The 15505-nt window shown below is 45.5% G+C and overlaps 1 protein-coding gene across 15 annotated transcripts in view, besides 8 other annotated features; it reads left to right on the forward strand.

Annotated features, from left to right (window-relative positions):
- Nucleotides 1-15505, forward strand: part of TRAF3 (TNF receptor associated factor 3) — a 134052-nt gene that overhangs the window by 27592 nt on the left and 90955 nt on the right. The window lies entirely within an intron of this gene.
- Nucleotides 661-750: an enhancer, noted in NCBI's record as "active region_9085". NCBI's record gives its function as "activates an Ori minimal core promoter by ATAC-STARR-seq in GM12878 lymphoblastoid cells {active_cell/tissue: GM12878}" and the evidence as "EXISTENCE:reporter gene assay evidence [ECO:0000049][PMID:35858748]".
- Nucleotides 4644-4803: a silencer, noted in NCBI's record as "fragment chr14:103276021-103276180 (GRCh37/hg19 assembly coordinates)". NCBI's record gives its function as "represses an EF-1alpha promoter that drives an FKBP-Casp9 reporter gene in an ReSE screen in phorbol 12-myristate 13-acetate-treated (for megakaryocytic differentiation) K562 erythroleukemia cells {active_cell/tissue: K562(+PMA)}" and the evidence as "EXISTENCE:reporter gene assay evidence [ECO:0000049][PMID:32094911]".
- Nucleotides 6613-6722: a silencer, noted in NCBI's record as "silent region_6132". NCBI's record gives its function as "represses an Ori minimal core promoter by ATAC-STARR-seq in GM12878 lymphoblastoid cells {active_cell/tissue: GM12878}" and the evidence as "EXISTENCE:reporter gene assay evidence [ECO:0000049][PMID:35858748]".
- Nucleotides 8411-8520: an enhancer, noted in NCBI's record as "active region_9086". NCBI's record gives its function as "activates an Ori minimal core promoter by ATAC-STARR-seq in GM12878 lymphoblastoid cells {active_cell/tissue: GM12878}" and the evidence as "EXISTENCE:reporter gene assay evidence [ECO:0000049][PMID:35858748]".
- Nucleotides 14223-14302: an enhancer, noted in NCBI's record as "active region_9087". NCBI's record gives its function as "activates an Ori minimal core promoter by ATAC-STARR-seq in GM12878 lymphoblastoid cells {active_cell/tissue: GM12878}" and the evidence as "EXISTENCE:reporter gene assay evidence [ECO:0000049][PMID:35858748]".
- Nucleotides 14563-14762: an enhancer, noted in NCBI's record as "active region_9088". NCBI's record gives its function as "activates an Ori minimal core promoter by ATAC-STARR-seq in GM12878 lymphoblastoid cells {active_cell/tissue: GM12878}" and the evidence as "EXISTENCE:reporter gene assay evidence [ECO:0000049][PMID:35858748]".
- Nucleotides 14883-14992: an enhancer, noted in NCBI's record as "active region_9089". NCBI's record gives its function as "activates an Ori minimal core promoter by ATAC-STARR-seq in GM12878 lymphoblastoid cells {active_cell/tissue: GM12878}" and the evidence as "EXISTENCE:reporter gene assay evidence [ECO:0000049][PMID:35858748]".
- Nucleotides 15033-15102: an enhancer, noted in NCBI's record as "active region_9090". NCBI's record gives its function as "activates an Ori minimal core promoter by ATAC-STARR-seq in GM12878 lymphoblastoid cells {active_cell/tissue: GM12878}" and the evidence as "EXISTENCE:reporter gene assay evidence [ECO:0000049][PMID:35858748]".

Consider the following 15505-nt stretch of genomic DNA (forward strand, 5'->3'; position numbering starts at 1 on the left):
TTAATGCCTTAATTACTTGCCTTCAGTTTTCTTTCCTTTTGGTGCTTAAGGGAGTATTTGTTCTCCATGCATATTTGGTACCCTTTGGTTTAGATAATTTAGATAATTAGCAACTAGTTTTGGTCTCATTATCAGACATTTTACTCTGGACACCCCATCACCACTCCCATCATGGGGGAGTTTGGAGGCCAGGAGATTCACTGGATGCTTCTTTTCTAGTGTGTGCTCTTCTTAGATGGGAAGGAAAAAGGTAAAACCTCAAAAACTCTGTGGTAAACTGATGTGGGAATCTGATACTAAAAATGTCCCAAGTGATTTAAAGTGTGTAAGAATTACTCACTTTTCTGTGGAGAGCGATGTGCATAAAGACAGTGACAAGTGGAAGAAGATATCCAGATGAGACCCTCACTGCCCTCGGTGAGTGGATTGCAGGATGCTGGGAGCCCCCTTGCGTAGAGACTCACCGCTGGACTCCAAGCCCTCTGTGGCTTCTGCTGTGGCTGAGTCATCGCTGCCCAAGACTACTGTTGGGTTCTCCTCCCTGCTGGTGAGCAGTGAGGCACCAGGGAGCCCCTGCCTGCAGCCAGCTCGGTGATTCCATGCAGTTTTACATAGGGAAAGAATGCTCTACCTGGCTACGTTTTCCTGTGTCCTGTTGAAATGAAGAGGTTAGTCATGCATTCCCTCAGCTAGAGCGTGAGGCAGTCCTTCCGAAGATTGTCCAATTTAGACCCAGACTCTTCAAAGGAAATGTCAGCATGTTTTGATGTCATGGTTCAAAACCTCACTGGGATGGTTTGTGTGAGTACATACCTGTTTTACTTTTAGTTTCACTAGAGGATGTCATTTGGACTAGTTGTTTTTAAGTGAACATTTCAAACTTAACTAAATTTGATTCCTGTTTCCTTGGTTGTAGTTACATGGAAAGACCACTGGGTCTGGGACAGTGGTTCTCATCCAGAGATGGAGTTGGTGGGGTGGGGGTGGGGTGCAGTTTCGTACCCTAGGGGGCATTTTGCAGTGTCTGGAAACCTTCAGAAGTGGGGTGGGGGATGCCACTGGCATTGGTAAGTAGAACGAGGGATGCTGTGAACACCCTGCAGTGCTCAGCATATCCCTACAGCAAAGAGTTTTCGGGTTCAAAATGTTAGTTGCGCCAAGGTTGAGAAACCGTGGCTTGGAAATTGTTCATTCACCATACTCTTCTTGATTTCTAGTGAATGTATGACTGTTAAGATTTTATGTTTTCATAAGGTGAGGTACTTTCTACAGAAATTCAGTCTCTTTAGTCATTAAACAGCAGAGGGCACTTGGAGGCTAGAGTGCCCAGAAGTCCATCAAGCCAGTCTGGATAAACCCTTCCCAACATGCCATAATTTACATCAAAACTTTGGTTAGCAGAATGGGAATTTTTGAGTAGATACCATTAGAAAAATAAAATAATTTTCCAGCTGTGGTTCCCAAGTTCCCCAAACTTATGTCTTTAGTCCAAGCTGCCCCTTGAGCTTCAGCTTCGGACCTGCATATTTATTTAACAGCTATTGAGTCCTTGGTATGTGCCGGGCACCCTCCTGTGTACCAGGGCATGGCAGGAAATGATATGGGCAGCTCCCTGTAGTCATGAGGCCTGTGTTCTAAGGCAGACCTTGAAGACAGGGAAGTCCATGTGCTGATTCCAGAAGAATAGAGGGGGCCTGGCAGGGCTGGGGGGAGGTCAAGAGTGGAGTGCTTCATACAGCTGGTCTCAGAGGGGCTCATTGTCCCGGACCTGCAGGACAAGGAGGCGTTTTGTCCACAAACCTTGAGAGTGAGTGAATGGGGCATGACTGGGGCCACTGGGTGTTATTGCTTGAATGACACCTAACCTGTCTCTAGTGAAGCTCTTGATTCCTCCCTACCCCCATCCAGATGCTAGAAGACTGGGGAGCATTTCTTGGTCCCTCTTCTCTCACAATCTGTCGTTGGTGCTCACTTCTGCACCCTGTTTTCCCACGTCCCTGGTCCCCAGCCCAGGCAAGCCTTCTGCTGATGCCGGTGGCCCCAACTTGTCTATCCACTTCACCCCAGTTTTCTCCAGGCCTTTCTCCATGCTGCTGTCAGAGAGATCTAAACATAGGTGGCCTCCTGCCCTTCCCTGAAAACCCTTTACGGCCTCTGACTGCATTCAGTGCACCCTGCATTCCTCCTGATAAGGTCTTGCGTCTCCCTGCTGCCCCAGCTTCAGCCCCAGGAGCCTGCCTGCCCAGGAGGCCATCATTGTTCCCCCTGGACACTGCCTGTCCTGCCTGCTGCCTTGTCCTCCTTTCTCCAGGGGCCTGGGGCCTCAGTCTCTCCATGCCTGCACCTGGAGTCCTGTTGCCTGTGTCCTACAGTTTCCTCCTCAGCCATCCCCACAGGGCTGTGTCCCTTTCTACTAGCCATGTTTATTTTCTTGTGGAGATGGGGTCTTGCTATGCTGCCCAGGCCGGTCTTGGTCTCCTGGCCTCAAGCAGTCCTCTTGCTTTGGCCATCTTTAGATGATAACTCACTCACCTGTGCTGCCTTTCACTTGGAGGATGGGTGGATGATTCACAGGGACCTGCCCTCCTTCCCGCAGAGTTGGGGTTTTTGTGTAGGGGATTTTTCTGTCAGTTATTTTTTCCTCACCTTTCAGAGTATTAAAAGAACTAAGCCATTAGTGGTGAGGCATGAGGGCAGCGACCACAGCTCCAGGGGAGCTCTCTTATCCCTACAGCTGGCAAATGTTCCACCCTGTTTTTATGGCACACAGAAAGGTAGGCGCATAGTGATGTTGTTAGTAAGCTTTTGAAGTAGAGCATGGTGAGTTAGTTGGCCTTTTTACGAAAAAGGAAATGGAAAACTAGCACCATGGCCTTGGCATAATTACTCCAACATGCAAATCAGTACTGGAAGGAAGTTGAGGCAGCATACCTCTATGCTCCACTAGTCCTTAAGACACGTCTGAAAGAAATGAAATTTTATTTTGTTAGAGGTGAAGGAATGCATGGATGGAATGCATGGTCCAGGTGTTTATAACTGTGCATTTATTTGGCGGTTGTTTTGGATGGACAGGAAGTGGGAGGGGAGGGCACAGAGAGTCACTTTGGCCACGTCCCTGGTTTGCCACAGGCTGATACTGGAGCATTCCTAAGTTTCGCAATGGAGATGGATGTGAAAGAAGAACACACTAGGCCAGGTGCGGTGGCTCACACCTGTAATCCCAGCACTTTGGGAGGCTGAGACAGGCGAATCACCTGAGGTCAGGAGTTTGAGACTAGCCTGGCCAAGATGGTGAAACCCCACCTTTACTACAAATACAAAAATTAGCCGGGTGTGGTGGCACATGCCTGTAATCTTAGCTACTCAGGAGGCTGAGGCAGGAGAATTGCTTGAACCCAGGAGGCAGAGGTTGAAGTGAGCCGAGATTGTGCCACTGCACTCCAGCCTGGGCAACAGAGCGAGACTCCATCTCAAAAAAAAAAAAAAAGAAAAGAAGAACCATACTAGTCAGGTGCTAGAGGGCTTCCAAGGCAGCCTCCAAGGGAAGGAAATGTCTGAGAAGTTATTTAAGAGGATTTGTTGGAACAGAAAAACTTCCAAATTGGTCTAGAAGGTGGACCCTAGCTATAGACGCATTTTACAGGACATAATGTAAATATTAAAGGCACATTTTCAGTATTTGGGGAAAATATGTCCTCTGAGTCGAATGACCAATGGCTGTTTCTAGAAAAATTTTAGTTGTAGTTTTAATTTGATTGTCTTGAGCATGGTGATAGATTGACTTTTTTTTTTTTTAAGACAGTCTTACGCTGTTGCCCAGGCTGCAGTGCAGTGGCACGATCTCAGCTCACTGCAGCCTCCACCTCTTGGGTTCAAGTGATTCTCCTGCCTCAGCCTCCCGAGCAGCTGGGATTACAGGTGCGCGCCATCACACCCAGCTAATATTTATTTATTTATTTATTTTGAGATGGCGTCTCGCTCTGTCACCCAGGCTGGAGTGCAGTGGCGCGATCCCTGCTTACTGCAGCTTCTGCCTCCCAGGTTCGAGAGATTCTCCTGCCTCAGCCTCCCAAGTAGCTGGGACTACAGGTGCGTGCCACTACACGCGGCTAATTTTTTGTATTTTTAGTAAAGACTGGGTTTCACTGTGTTAGCCAGGATGGTCTTAATCTCCTGACCTCGTGATCTGCCTGCCTTGGCCTCTCAAAGTGCTGGGATTACAGGCATGAGCCACTGTGCCTGGCCGCACCCGGCTAATTTTTGTATTTTTAGTAGAGACGGGGTTTCACCAGTTGGCCAGGCTGGTCTGAAACTCCTCACCTCAGGTGATCTGCCTGCTTCAGCCTCCCAAAGTGCTGAGATTACAGGCGTGAGCCACCGCGCCTGGCCTAGAGTGACTTTCTTAAAGCTCTGTGTCTCCTGGAAATGGAATGTATCCCAAATGAGGATTATTTTTAAGCTTTATAATAAAATCTTTCACAGCATAGACTTTTTTTTTTTTTTTTTTTTTGAGACGGAGTCTTGCTCTGTTGCCCAGGCTGGAGTTCAGGGGCGCAATCTCGGCTCACTGCAAGCGCCGCCTCCCAGGTTCATGCTATTCTCCTGTCTGTCTCCTGAGTAGCTGGGACCACAGGCGCTCGCCACCACACCCGGCTAATTTTTTGTATTTTTAGTAGAGATGGGGTTTCACCATGTTAGCCAGGATGGTCTCAATCTCCTGACCTCGTGATCTGCCCGCCTCGGCCTCCTAAAGTGCTGGGATTACAGGCATGAGCCACCGCGCTTGGCCCACAGCATAGACTTTTAAAGACCATGTAGGCAAGAACAGATCTTTAAAGGGAAACCTCAGTTTGGCTTTTGAAAGTTCATCTGATTGAAGTTAAACTGATGAAACATACTCCATCCATGCATTACCAAAAACGTTGGAGCACGGCATGGCAGTAGTATCTAAAACAGATTGGCAAACTATGGGTCTAAGAATAGTTTTTATGTGTTTAAAGGATTGTAAAAATAAGCAAAGAAGAATATGTGACCCATGAAACATAAAATAGTTACTGTCTGGCTCTTTATGGGAAAAAAGTTTGCCAACTCTTGGCTTAAAGGGTCAAGAATGCTTTACCAAAAAACAAACAACCCCCTCCCCCCTACAACTGTAATGTTTGAGCAGGAGTTTTACAAGATAAAGAATTTTGATCTTGAGGGGATTTGGGTGAGGATGGGGCGGTGCAGTGGGAGAGAGAGTATAGATACTGTTCATCACACCCAGTGCAGTCGGCTCTGGTGGGAACATAGGGTGACCTCAGTGTGTGGTGAGGACAGTGATCATGGCCCCTTTTACAAGTTGAAGCTTAGTTCTGGAGTGGTGGACCATCAGAAGCTTTTAAGTAGGAGAATGTCAATGTCATAAATTAGAGTTAATTGTGAGAAATTGAAATAAGTATTCCATTTTTTTCTGAGATGTGCTCTCCTGAACTTATAAAGTAGTTCTTCAGAAGTGTTTGCAGTGTTCACAAGACACTGGCTCTGTGGTATTTGACATGCAGATGGGCCCAGAATTCCTGACTTAAGGCTAAAGATTTATCTTGAGCTTATCATGATGTGGGCTTATGATTGTTTTGATCAGCAGCTGACATCTGTGAAGCCTCAGTGATCCTATAAATTGAGGAACCTGAGAGAATCAAGAGAAAGACAACAATTCTTGCTGATGTCAGTAACTGTATTTCACCTGTTAAACTTCTGCATGGAGGAGGTCAGTGTTGTCTGCTGTGTCAGCATCAGCCTACCTGGGTGTGGACGTATTCTTTGGGAGATGAAACGTAGAAAAGGTACCCCGAGTCCATTACACATTCTGGATTCCCAGAAATAAGACATCTCTGAGGGCAGAACCTTTACAGTCACTTACATCAAGAAGGAATTCTTCAGGAGAAAGCTCGGTAAAGGTATCTTAACTTTGTATGTATACCCAGAGAAAACACATAAAGATAAAAATAAAATAATTTTCCTCATTATCCCCACACCATTAGCATCTTGGTGTATAGTCTTTGCATCTTTTTTCAGTATGTATGCACTTAGATCATCTTGTAGGACGCCAGTCCCATGCATTATACACTTTGTATCTCACAGTGGAGTGGAGGACAGCCTGATCCTTAAGGGGATGCCGAATTGCTGCATCCCCATGATTTTTGCTGCTTTGATTCTTCTCATGAGCCCCGTTGCTGCTGTCTGTATTAGCGTCCTTCTGAGCAAACAATGGGTACCTTTTTTTTTTTTTTTCTTAAGAGAGAGTCTTGCTATGTTGCCTCAGGCGGGAGTGCAGTGGCTATTCACAGGTGCTGTCGTACTGCCCTGGATGATAGTACACTGCAGCCATGAAGTCCTGGGCTTAAGCAGTTTTCGCCTCAGCCTCCTGAGTAGCTGGGACATTAGGCCCGTGCCGCCATGCCTGGCTCTTGACCATTCCCACAAGCCACACCTACAAGGAGCTCAAGGAGCTGTTTGCGCTGTAGGCGGTTTTTTTTTTTTTTTTTTTTTTTTGGTTTTTGTTTGTTTTTGTGCAGAGGTCAGATCTCTTGTCTCATAGTGCAAAGGCGATGAAGGCCTTCATTACAGTCTCTCAATTTGACTCTCAGTTTGATCGGAAGTTGCTAAGATGGGCTGACATTGTGAGGAGGATACTGCTACAGCAGTAGTGTGTGTGTGTGTGTGTGTGTGTGTGTGTGTGTTTGTACAGACTGTCTCACTCTGCCACCCAGGCTGGAGTGCAGTGGTGCAGTCATAACTTACTGTAACCTTGAACTCGTGGGCTCAAGTGATCCTCCTGCCTCAGCCTCCCGAGTAGCTAGGACTGTAGGCTTGTGCCACCATGCCTGGCCCTTTTTTTTTTTTTTTTTTTTTTTTTTTTTTGTACAGACAGGGTCTTGCTGTGTTGCTAAGGCTGGTCTCAAACTCCTGGCCTCAAGTGGTCTTCCTGCTTCAGCCTCCCAAAACACTGGTATTACAGGAGTGAGCCAGAGCACCTGGCCTGAAGCTATATATTATTGTTAACTGCAGTCATCCGACAGTGCTATAGAACACTAGACTCTGTTCCTGTCTAGCTCTCTCCCCATTTTTCCCATCCTCCTACCCTTCCTAACCTCTAGTATCCTGTGTTTACTTTTGACTTCTGTGAGATCAACTTTTTTTAGCTTCCACATGTATTAGTGAGAACATGTGGTGTTTAACTTTCTGTTTTTGGCTTATCTCACTTAATATAGTGTCCTCCACTTCTATCCATGTTGCTGTGAACGACAGGATTTCATTCATTTTTATGGCTAAATAGTAGTCCATTTTGTATAGATACCACATTTTCTTCATCTGTTGTTGGACACCTAGATTGATTCCCTGTTTGGCTATTGTGAATAGTGCTACGGTAAATATGGGGTATAGATGTCTCTTTGATGTCATGATTTCCTTTCCTTTGGATAAATTCCCAGTAGTGGGATTGCTGGATCATATGGTAGTTCTATTTGTAGCTTTTGAGGAAATTCCATACTGCTCTCCATAGTGGCTGTACTAGTTTACATTCCTACCAATAGTGTGTAAGAGTTGCCTTTTCTCAGGCCGGGCGTGGTGGCTCACGCCTGTAATCCCAGCACTTTGGGAGGCCGAGGGGGGCGGATCACGAGGTCAGGAGATCGAGACCATCTTGGCTAACACGGTGAAACCCTGTCTTTACTAAAAATACGAAAAATTAGCCGGGCACGGTGGCGGGCGCCTGTAATCCCAGCTACTCAGGAGGCTGAGGCAGGAGAATGGCGTGAACCCAGGAGGCGGAGCTTGCAGTGAGCCGAGATAGCGCCACTGCAGTCCGGCCTGGGCGAAAGAGCGAGACTCCGTCTCAAAAAAAAAAAAGTTGCCTTTTCTCTGCATCCTGGACAGTATTTGTTATTATTTATTTGTTTATTTATTTAGTTTTGAGGTGGAGTCTCGCTCTGTCGCCAGGTTGGAGTGCAATGGCACAATCTCGGCTCACCACAATCTCCGCCTCCCAGGTTCAAGCAATTTTCCTGCCTCAGCCTCCCGAGTAGCTGGGATTATAGGCATGTGCCACCACGCCTGGCTAATTTTGTATTTTTAGTAGAGACGGGGTTTCTCCATGTTGATCAGGCTGGTCTCGAACTCCTGACCTCAGATAATCCGCCCGCCTCAGCCTCCCAAAGTGCTGGGATTACAGGTTTGAGCCACTGTGCCTGGCCTGTATTTTTGATAATAGCCATTCTAACTGGGGTGAGATGATACCTCATTGTGGTTTTGTTTTGCATTTCCTTGATGATTAGTGATACTGAGCATTTTTTATGTATTTGGCCATTTGTATGTCTTTTGAGAAATGTCTGTTCAGGTAATCCCCCTGCCCCGGCTTTTTTCTTTTCTTTTCTTTTCTTTTTTTTTTGAGACGGAGTCTCACTCTGTCACCCAGGCTGGAGTGCAGTGGTGTGATCTTGGCTCACTGCAACCTCCACCTCCAAGGTTCAAGTGATTCTCCTGCCTCAACCTCTTGAGTAGCTGGGACTACAGGCGCACACCACCACGACCTGCTAATTTTTGTATTTTTAATAGAGATGGGAGTTTGCCATGTTGGCCAGGCTGGTCTTGAACTCCTGACCTCAGTTGATCCACCCGCCTCGGCCTCCCAAAGTGCCAGGATTACAGGCGTGAGCCACCCACCTGGCCAATTTGCCCATTTTTTAATTGGATTTTTTTTTTTTGCTGTTGAGATGTGTGAGTTCCTTGTATATCAATCCCCTGTTGGATGAATAGTTCGCAAATACTTTCTCCCATTCTGTAGGTTGGCTTTTCATTCTATTGTTTCCTTTGTTTTGCTGAAGCTTTTTAGCTTGATATAATCCCATTCATTTATGTTTGCTTTTGTTGTCCGTGCTTTTCAGTTACTCATCAAATCTTTTCCCAGACCAATGTGATGAAGCATTTCCCCTATGTTTTGTAGTAGTTTTATCATTTGGGTCTTATATTTAGGTCTTTGATTCATTTTTAGTTCATTTTTGTATAGGATGAGAGGTGGAGGTCTAGTTTCTATTTTCACTCTTCTGCATATGGATATTTAATTTTCACAGCACCATTTGTTGAAGAGACTGTCCTTTCCCCAATGAATGTTCTTGGCGCCTTTGTCAAAAATCAGTTGGCTGTAGATATGCAGGTTAATTCCTGGGTTTTCTATTCTTTTCCATTGGTCTGTGTATCTGTTTTTATAGACACATACCAGTTGTTTTATAGACCAGTACCGTGTCGTTTTGCTTACTACAGCTTTGTAGTATATTTTAAGGTTTGGTAGTGTGATACCTCCAGCTCTGTTCTTCTTGCTCAGCATTGCTTTGGCTATTTGGGGTCTTTTGCAGTTTCATACAAATTTTAGGATATTTTTTCTATTTCTGTGAACAATGTCATTGGTATTTTGATGGAGATTGCTCTTTTAATTATCTTGATTTCTTTTTTTCCCCCCCAAGACAGGGTCTCACTTCGTTATCTAGGCTGGAGTGCAGTGGCATGATACAGCTCAGTGCAGCCTTGACCTCCTGGACTTAGGTGATCCTCCCACCTCAGCCTCCTGAATAGCTGGGACTGCAGGCACATGCCACCACATCTGGCTAATTTTTTGTACTTTTTTTTGTAGAGACGGGGTTTTGCCATGTTGCCCAGGCTGGTCTCGAGCTCCTGAGCTCAAGCGGTCCACCCACCTCAGCCTCCCAAAGTGCTGGGATTACAGGCATACACCACTGCACCTGGCCTCTTTTCAATTTCTTGATGGTGTTCTTTGATGTACAAAAGTTTTTAACTTTAAATGAAGTCCAGTTTATCTACTTTTTCTTTGGCTTATTGTGCTTTTGGTATCCTTTTCTTTTCTTTTCTTTCTTTTTCTGAGACAGAATCTCGCACTGTTGGCCAGGCTGTAGTGCAGTGGCACAATCATGGCTCACTGTAGCCTCGACCTCTAGAGCTCAAGGGAGCCTACTGCCTTAGCCTCCTGAGTAGCTAGGGCTACAGGCGGTACCATTATGCCTGGTTAATTTTTTAAATTATTTTTTGTAGAGACAGAGTTTTACTATGTTGCCCGGGCTGGTCTCAAACTGCTGGGCTCAAGCAGTTCTCCTGCTTCAGCCTCCTAAAGTGTTGGGATTACAGATGTGAGCCACTGTTCCTGGCTTGGAGTCATTTCTAAGAAACCATTGCCTAATCCAAGGTCGTGAAGATTTACATCTTTCTTCTAAGAATTATATAGTTTTAGTTCTTTTCTGCTGTGATCATGTGTGTATGTGTTGGTTTTTTATTTTTATTTTTTTGAGACTGGGTCTTGCTGTATTGCCAGGCTGGAGTGCAGTGCTTATCCATAGCCATGATCATAGTGTACTGCAGCCTTGAACACTTGGGCTCAAGTGATCTTTCTGCCTTAGCTTCCCAGGTAGTTAGGACTACAGTGCATACCACTGTGCCTGGCTTATTGTGTGATCTATTTTGAGTCAATTTTTGTGGTGTGAGATAGGGGTCCAGTTTCATTCTTTTACATGTGTATATTTACATTTTGTAGTTCATTTGTTGAAGGGACTACTTGTATTAGTCTGTTCTCATACTGCTATAAAGAAATTCCCCAGACTGGGTAGTTTTTAAAGGAAAGAGGTTTAATTGATTCACAGTTCTACATGTCTGGGGAGGCCTCAGGAAACTTACAATCAAGGCAGACGGGGAAGCAGGCACGTCTTACATGGCAGCAGGCAAGAAGGAGCGTGTGTGAGTGCAGGAAAAACTACCATTTATAAAACCATCAGATCTGGTGATAATTCACTCACTGTCATGAGAACAGCCTGGGGACACCACCACTATAATCCAATCACTTCCTTCCCTTGACACATGGGGATTACAATTCGAGATGAGATTTGGGTGGACACAGAGCCAAACCGTATTACTATTCTTTCTCCATTGAATGGTCTTGGTGCCCTTATCAAAAATGTATTTTCCATAAAAAAACACCAATTGACCATAAATATAAGGGCTTATTTCTGGACTCTAAATTCTATTTTTTTTTTTTTAAGAAACAGGGTCTCACTCTGTTGCCCAGGCAGGAGTGTAGTGATGCCATCTCAGTTCTCTTCAACCTCCGCCTCCTGGGCTCAGGTGATCCTCTCACCTCAGCCCCCCAAGTAGCTGGGACTACGAGCACATGCCACCACCCTCGCCTAATTTTTGTATTTTTTGTAGAGATGGGGTTTTACCATGTTGGCCAGGCTGGTCTCGAACTCCTGAGCTCAAGCAGTCCACCCTCCTCAGCCTCCCAAAGTGCTACGATTACATGCATTAGCTACCATACACCGATTGTACAGGCCACAGGCTAGCCCCACACACCAGATTTTGAAGATTAAGTGTGGTTTAAAAAAATGCAAAATATCCTGTTAATAATTTTTGATAATATTACATGTTGAAATGATAAAGTTTAATGTTGTGTTAAATAATACACAGTAAATTTTACTGACTTCTTTTTACTCTTTAATTGTAGCTGCTAGGAGATTTAAAATTATTTTTGTGATTCTCGTATTTCTGTTGGACCAGAGGTATTTTTTAATAGCATGACATTCTGTTACATGGTTGATTATATGATGATCATATGATTGTGGCAGTTTCTTGATTCGATTCTCTGTTGTTGGACACTTAGGTTGTTTCCAGTCTTCTCTGTTTTCCACGGTGCTGTGATGACTGACACTGTGGATGGGTAGTCATGCACTCCTGTGCCCGCTGCCAGGAAAGAGCTCATAAGGAGGACCTGGGAAGCATTTGCTGCACTTCTGAATCTAGCGCATGCAGACTCGACCCTGTGGGTCGAGCTTTGGTGAGAAGTGGTTGGATTTGGAACGTATCTTGAAGACGAAGCTGACTGTCTTTGCTGATGGATTGGATGTATGGCATGTGAGGAAGGGGGTCCTTTATGATCTAAGGAATTGGATGGTGCCATTTCCTGAGCCAGGCATTGCCAGAGGCAGATCAGAGAGGAACGGGTACCAAGGGCTCAGTGTTGGACCTGTTAGGTTTGAGATGCCTTTTTGATGCTCAAGTGGAGATGTTGAGTTGGTTATTGGATATACAGGTCTGGGGGAATTACAGGGAAAGGGGTGCTGGAGATATATTTGAGAATTATGAAAAGCTGTTTGAGCATCAAGCAGGATGGGTGAGACTTGACCACTGGATTTTGCAACTTGAAGGTCTTTGGGGACTTGGACAAGACTGGTGTCAGGAGGCATGACAAGTGGAAGTTTTCAGGGGAGAATGGGATGTGTGTGTTAACAGCTTCTTGAAAGAGTTTTCTCTAAAGTAGAATGATGGGGGAGTGGGGGTGCTGGGGACACATTAGCACTTACCGTGCTCTGGAAGGCAGGGTGTTCAGGAGGGAGGTTGACAGAGGAGGGCCTGGGATCCAGTGCCAGAGTAGAGGGTGGACCTTGCCCATGGGATCTGGAGGGAGGGCAGAGTAGACAGGCAGGCCTTCCTTTCAGCAGTGGGAGGAGGAGAAAATACCAGCTTGCCCCTTTCCAAAAGCTGAGAGTAAGGGTGACAAGGGGGAAAGAGGTATTATAGGTATGCTATGGAGTTAAAGGTAAAGTTTGCATGAATTTCGAATACAAAATGTAATACTTCATATCCATTGAGTTGCTTCAAAGTGCTTATCCTCAGGGTTCTCTCTCCTGTGCCTTTGGGGGTACTTTGGTGAAAAAGTTTGAGAAGCCACTTCATTATTGTAGTCTATTGTTACGTTGTTAAGTCTCACCCAAGTGAGTATTTAACCTTAAAGAGTTTGAGATTCACTTGCCTATTTTGTTATCCATAATAGAGCTTTTGCAGCTGCTCCAAATATCCCTCCATTTGTGCATCTTAATAGTTGTTTGGCAATCACCTTATTCTGCACTGGGAAGGCTGGAGAGGGGTGGGGAGCTGCGGGGTGTCTGGAGGCAGTATGGCGAGCTCGAGATTCCCACCCTTTCAGAGATGAGGTGGTGGAGGCAGGCAGGGCCTACTAGGCTTCTGAAGCAACACTCGCCAGGGACATTTTAGTGACCTTTTCCCCGTGTTCTCAAAACACTTTACAAATACACCATTTGTCTTTAATTCTGGCAGGGTGGTTTGGGTGAGCTGGGGGTAGTGCTGTTAGCCAACCTTTTACAATATTTAACAATCAGTAGAGATTAAAAGCTGTTTGGCCTCTTTCCCATTGATCACATAGCCTTTTTCTTTTTGTACAATTTTAGTATGATTAACCCTCCCACCCCCATTAAAGTTCTTCAGCCTTCTTAGTAGAAAGCTCTGTGAAGTTTGATTCACCCACGGAAGTTACTTCATGGAGTGGAAGCATTTGAGAAATCAGATCTTGGCTTTCTTCTTGTGGACAGATCAGGTGGCTGAGGCCTGGAGGGAGCTTGATTTGAGATGAGTAGTTTGTATGCCTGACTAAGTCAAGTAGCCACTTACTTCCCTTCACACTTAATCAAATCCTAACTCTCTAACTGAAACTTTGTACCATTTGACCAGTACCTCTCCTTTCCCCATTCCCCCGCTCCCAGCCTCCGTAACCACTGTTCTACTCTACGCTTCTTCACCTTCTACTTTCTTAGATTCCACATATAAATAAGACCATGTGGTATCCGTCACATATTTCACTTAGCATAATGCCCTCCAGGCTCTTCTGTGGCCATGGATGATAATCATGTATTGTATATTTCAAAATTGCTAAAGAGTAGATCTTAAATGTTTTCATCACAAGAAAAGGAACTTGGTGAGGTGATGGATAGATTAACTAGTTTGATTTAATCATTTCACAATGTATACATAGATCAAAACATCCCATTGTATCTTATAAATAAATACAATTTTTTTTGTCAATTAAATTTTTTAAAAATTACAAGAGGCTGAGGTGAGGTTACAGTGAGCTGTGATCATGCCACTGCACTCCAGCCTGGGTGACGGAGCAAGACTCTGTCTCTAAAAAAAAAAAAAGTGAAGTTAAAAATTAATTAATTTAAAAAAATCCCAACTCTTCCATCACCCCAGCCCTGCATCCTTCTCCCTTCCCCCAAGACCCCCTCCCCTGCCACTATGCTCTGATTCCTAGAGCGGTGTGTCCCTGTCCTGCCACTCTTGCTGTGCCTGTGGCTGTCCCTGTTCCTTGGGTAGCTTCCCTGTTACTCCTCAGGGGCTTCCCTGGCCACCCTCTGCTCGGGCCCTTCCTGAGTGTTACATCAGCACCTTTCTTGCCCGCACCCACCACCAGCCACAGCTTGTGTTTGCCGTGTGAGCCGGAGCACTTGTTTGTCACCTCACGGTCTTCCCCTCCATGAGGGCAGGCACGGCAGTCTTGCTTTCATTCTTGCTTTCATGCAGTCTACCCAGCTGTGGGCGAGATGTGTGCACATCGCTCAGCATGTTTGTAGAATGAACACATGTATAAACTAGACTTGAATGGAGATTATTGTTCTCTCCTGGCCATTAAAGGTGCTTCTTCCTGCTGCTCATTTACATCTCAGGTGTTACCATCTCTGGCCAGTGCCTGCCCTGTTGTTGTCATCTAACAGTCATGGGACCACACCTTTGTGACTCTCAGGGCCAGAGGTGTTTGGGAATGTGGAATTTTTGAGATTTTTAGAACAGAAATAGTGAAAGTACCGTATAGTATAGGACATCCTAGGCAGCACCATATAATCAAGCACATTAAGATTTTTGCAGCAAAAAGTATATGAATATTCACACTAAGTGGGACAGTGAGACTATGAATAGCTTCACATCAGATCAGGGCATACCGCCAAGTGAGTTATGAACATGCTTTCAGTTTTCAGAGAGCTTTTTGGATTTTCAAATTGCAGAGAAGGGATTATGGACCTGTCTTAGTGAGCATCTGCTTGTCACGCATTATGCAGCGTGCTGAAATACAAAGGAAGAAAACATCACGCCTGCCCTCCCGTGTAGGGGGTGGGTGGTCACCACATGCGGGTGGTGAGCCCATGCTGGGAGGGCACTCCCGGCAGGTCCTGTTGTTCTCCCTGTCATCTCCCCCTTTCCTTTGCGAGCGTCCTCTACAGGTGCGGTTTCAGGTGAGCCACATGGGGGGCTGGCAGAAGGGGCACTGCATTGTGACGCAGGGTCAAATGTGTCCCTCTCAGAGTGTAGGAGGTAACCGTTCTGGATCGCCTGGATCCTGCCCTTGGGTCTGGCTGCCCGGGTCCAAGGAGGAAAGGGCCGACTCCAGGTGATGCTGCAGACCAGGAGCGCTGCCCTCACTTCCTAACCTTCTGCACTTGGGTGCCGGGGCCCCCTCTCTGCAGTCACACACTCTGCCCTCTTAGCTGGGCCTAGAGCTTTAAACATTAACTGGATTCAACATACGTTTTTCTGACTTTTTAAATATAATGAGTATAGTTTTATTTTAATGTTTTTCAGATGCATTTTGATGTAGGTAGGTACCTTTACATTTTAAAAA

The sequence above is a fragment of the Homo sapiens genome, chromosome 14 (genome assembly GCF_000001405.40).
Source record: "Homo sapiens chromosome 14, GRCh38.p14 Primary Assembly".
In the NCBI taxonomy this organism is placed as follows: domain Eukaryota; kingdom Metazoa; phylum Chordata; class Mammalia; order Primates; family Hominidae; genus Homo; species Homo sapiens.